The sequence below is a fragment of the Homo sapiens genome, chromosome 3, assembly GCF_000001405.40.
Source record: "Homo sapiens chromosome 3, GRCh38.p14 Primary Assembly".
Classification (NCBI taxonomy): domain Eukaryota; kingdom Metazoa; phylum Chordata; class Mammalia; order Primates; family Hominidae; genus Homo; species Homo sapiens.
In genome coordinates this window covers 5,958,543-5,962,531 of record NC_000003.12, presented here as the reverse complement: position 1 = coordinate 5,962,531, position 3,989 = coordinate 5,958,543, and positions in this window count along the sequence as shown.

The following is a 3,989-nucleotide window of genomic DNA, read 5'->3' as shown; positions in this document are numbered from 1 at the left end:
ATGAAATTCAGAGTCCAGATACTTATTTCATGAAGAAAAATACTGTTTCCTGGATGTTTGGGATATTTACATGCAAAATGTAAAAACAGTAAAAAAAATTGACTACAAATTTCCAATATATGTATCTAGAAAAAAAAACAAAAGAAAAATCTAAGTTCAATTCCAATCCAAACAATGATAAGCCATCCAGTATTGGTTAAAAGGTATTAGTGAACATTTGCTTAATACATTTGCCAAAACTTAAAGAGTAATAAACTCCAACTACAATATATTATGCAATTTGTCCCTTCCTGAAGAGAATTATATGAACAAATGGGGAGGGTACTTGCTATAAGCAGATTTTCAGAATGGATCTTGAAGTTTCTTGGCAATGCAATCATTTATATTTATGAAATTCTAACTTCTATATATGAGATTTTCTTTAAAGGAACACAATACCACTAAGAAAATTCCATTTTTGTTTCTTAGGCAAGTATTCAAATGAGGGGAGTGAGTAAAAGAGATTTTCTAAAGGCTTTGAAATACTGGGACTTCTATTTTATTATAGGGTGTTACTCTTCAAGAAAAAAGTGACCATGTGACACATTTTCTTCATTTAAAATGAGCTCATCACCGAACATAATTATTTAGTGAAGACTATTAGAACCTGCCATCTGATATCCAGGGTGAGATACTGCCCTGATTCACAAAGGTTTATCCATACTGAAATGTTGACTGTGTGGAAGATGTCAGTGCATCAAATGCCACACTCCTTTTTCAGTCTTATCTAGGCATACCCTAGATTCAGCTCTAGGAAGCAAATAATAAGGGAACAAGCGATGACTTAGGGAGTGAAGATACTAGCTTGTTCTTACAAAGTTAAGTTCAGGCTTTCTTCTACCTGGGCACACTGAGTTTAGAAAGAACAGAAAAATTAAATAGCATAACAGCACTGGTGAAAATGCCACTTAGGTTTGCCGCCCAAATATGTAAATAACCTTTAGGAATTCACTAGATAAATAATTCTATTAAATGAAGGATCAGTAGTGCCTAGAACACACCAGGTATTTAATATTTTTTTCTTATTTGCTTGATCATATTTCCACAGCATGTGCTATATCCTGCTCCATTTTACCCGTATACACAAAGAATGACCGGCTCCATGTAATTGTTTTTAATATCAAATGACTTAACAAAGTGAAAGAGGAATAAAATGAGTGCTTTGCTTCATTTCATTAATTCTCAGAGGGTGCTATTTATATCCCCAGTGATACACACTGTTTTTATGTAGAATATTGGGATTTTTAATTTTAATAATAGATTAGAAAAATATATAACAGCAATCTATACATATTACTGCAGCTTAATTTTAAAATAAATCCAGATAAACCCCCAAAATGAGTCAGTTTAAAGAATAATATTACCTTTAGTAGAGATAGTATGCAGAACCAGTAATAACTGTGGTGGTGGTATGTAAATGACTGAAGTTGGAAACAATGGTTTAGTGGAAGCAAGTAAGGAAAGATCAGGACCTAGACAATAACCACAGTTTTAGATGGCATTCAGCCAAAAAGTTCCAGCTTGTGACAAGTAGAAGCAAGTTTGGGTAGAAACTTAATAAACTGCTGAAATCTTTGAATGAAATCTTGCCTAGCAACCTGCAGAGAATTTCTTTCCATGAGGATGATTTCACCATGACATTTTCATCACGCGCACAAAAAATAATGGCAAGGCTGGGCGTGGTGGCTCATACCTATAATCCCAGCACTTTGGGAGGCCGAGGCAGGCGGATCACTAGGTCAGGAGATCCAGACCATCCTGGCTAACATGGTGAAACCCCGTCTCTACTAAAAATACAAAAAATTAGCTGGGAGTGGTGGCAGGCGCCTGTAGTCCCAGCTACTCGGGAGGCTGAGGGAGGAGAATGGCGTGATCCCGGGAGGCGGAGCTTGCAGTGAGCCGAGATCAAGCCGCTGCACCCCAGCCTGGGCGACAGATTGAGACCCTGTCTCAAAAAAAAAAAAAAAAAAAAAATAATAATAATAATAATAATAATGTCAAGTACTTTTTTTCTATGTCAAATCACCCCCACTCTTTCTTTCTTCTTCCTTCTTCCTCTTTTTTTTTTTTTTTTTTTTGACAGAGTCTCACTCTGTCACCCAGGCTGAAGGATAGGGGCGTGATCATGGCTCACTGTAAACTAAACCTCCTGGTTCAAGCAGTGACCTCACCCTTCCACGTGCCTCAGGCTACAGGCAAGCACCATTATGCCTGGGTAGTTTTTTTTTTTTTTTTTTGAGACACAGGGTCTTGCTATGTTGCCCAGGCTGGTCTCAAACTCCTGGCCTCAAGAGAAAGAATGCAAATAAAGTTATACATGAGAGAGGAGAAATTATACCTGGTACTAAAGAAATGTACTGGCTTATAAGAGATTATTATGAAAAATTATACAACAGCCAACTGGATAACCTAGAAGAAATGGATGAAGTCCTTGATACATACAACCTACAAAGACTGAGTCATGAAGAAAGAGAAAATTTGAGCAGACCAATAAGAAATAAAGAAGTCTGAATCAGTAATCAAAACACTCCCAACAAAGAAGATTCCAGGACCAGATGGTTTCATGGGTAAATTCTATCAAACATTTACAGAATTAATGGTAAGCCTCAAAATTGTCAAAAAAAATGAGACGGAGGCAACGATTTCAAACTATAGGCTAGCATTACTCTCACACAGCCATAAGCACACTACAATAAAATAAAATTTCGGGTTTACATCACAGATGAATATCGATGCAAAGATCTTCAACAAAATACTAACAAATCCAATCCAAGAGCAAATTAAAAGAATGCTACAACACGATCAAGCGATATTTATCCCTGAGATGCAAGGATGGTTTAATGTATGCAAATTAATAAACATAATACACTACATTAATAGAATGAAGAATAAAATCATGATTATCTCAATAGGGACAGAAAAAGCATTTGAAAAAAATCAACATTCTTTCATGATAAAAACACCCAGTAAACTAGGAATACAAGGAAATTACCTTAGCATAATAAAAGCTATATATGACATGCTATTGCTAACAGTGAAAAGCTGAACACTTTTTCCCTATATCAGGAACATGTTACTAGAAGCGCTCACCACCACAATTAGGCAAAACAATGATGTAAAAAGCATTTAAATCAGAAAAGAAGATGTTAATGTCTCTGCTGGTGACATGATCTTACATGAAGAAAACCCTAAAGGCTCCAGTAAAAAGCTATTAGAATTAATCAACAAATTCAATAAAGTTGCAGGTTACAAAATCATCTTATAAAGACCAATTGTATTTCTACACACTAACAACAAACTACTCCAAAAATAAAATCAAGAAAACAATTCCACTTCTAATAGCTACACACACACACACACACACAAATGGCACTTTGTAATAAATTATCCAAGCAGGTAAAATTCCTGTACACTGAAAACTATAAAACATTGATTTAAAAAATTACAGATGACACAAATACATGGAAAGATAGCCCTTGTTTATGAATTGGAATTATTAGCCAGGTGTGGTTGCACATGCCTGTAATCCCAGGTACTTGGGAGGCTGAGGCAGGAGAATCGCTTGAACTAGGGAGGCAGAGGTTTCAGTGAGCCAACATGGTGCCACTGCACTCCAGCCTGGGCAACAATAGCAAAACTCTGTCTCATAAAAAAAAAAAAAAGAATTGGAATTAATACTGTTTAATAGAGTTAATAATGTTAAAATGTCCATAGTACACAAAGCAATCTAGAAATTTAATACAATTCCTATCAAAATCCCAATGGCATTTTTACAGAAATATTATAAATAATCCTAAAATTGACAAGAAATCTCAAAAGATCCTGAATAGCCAAAGTAGTCTTGAGAAAGAAAAGTAAAGCTGGATGCATCACCTACCTGAATTGAAACTGTATTACAGAGATATAGCAATCAAAACAGCATGGTGTTATCATAAACACAGACACATAGA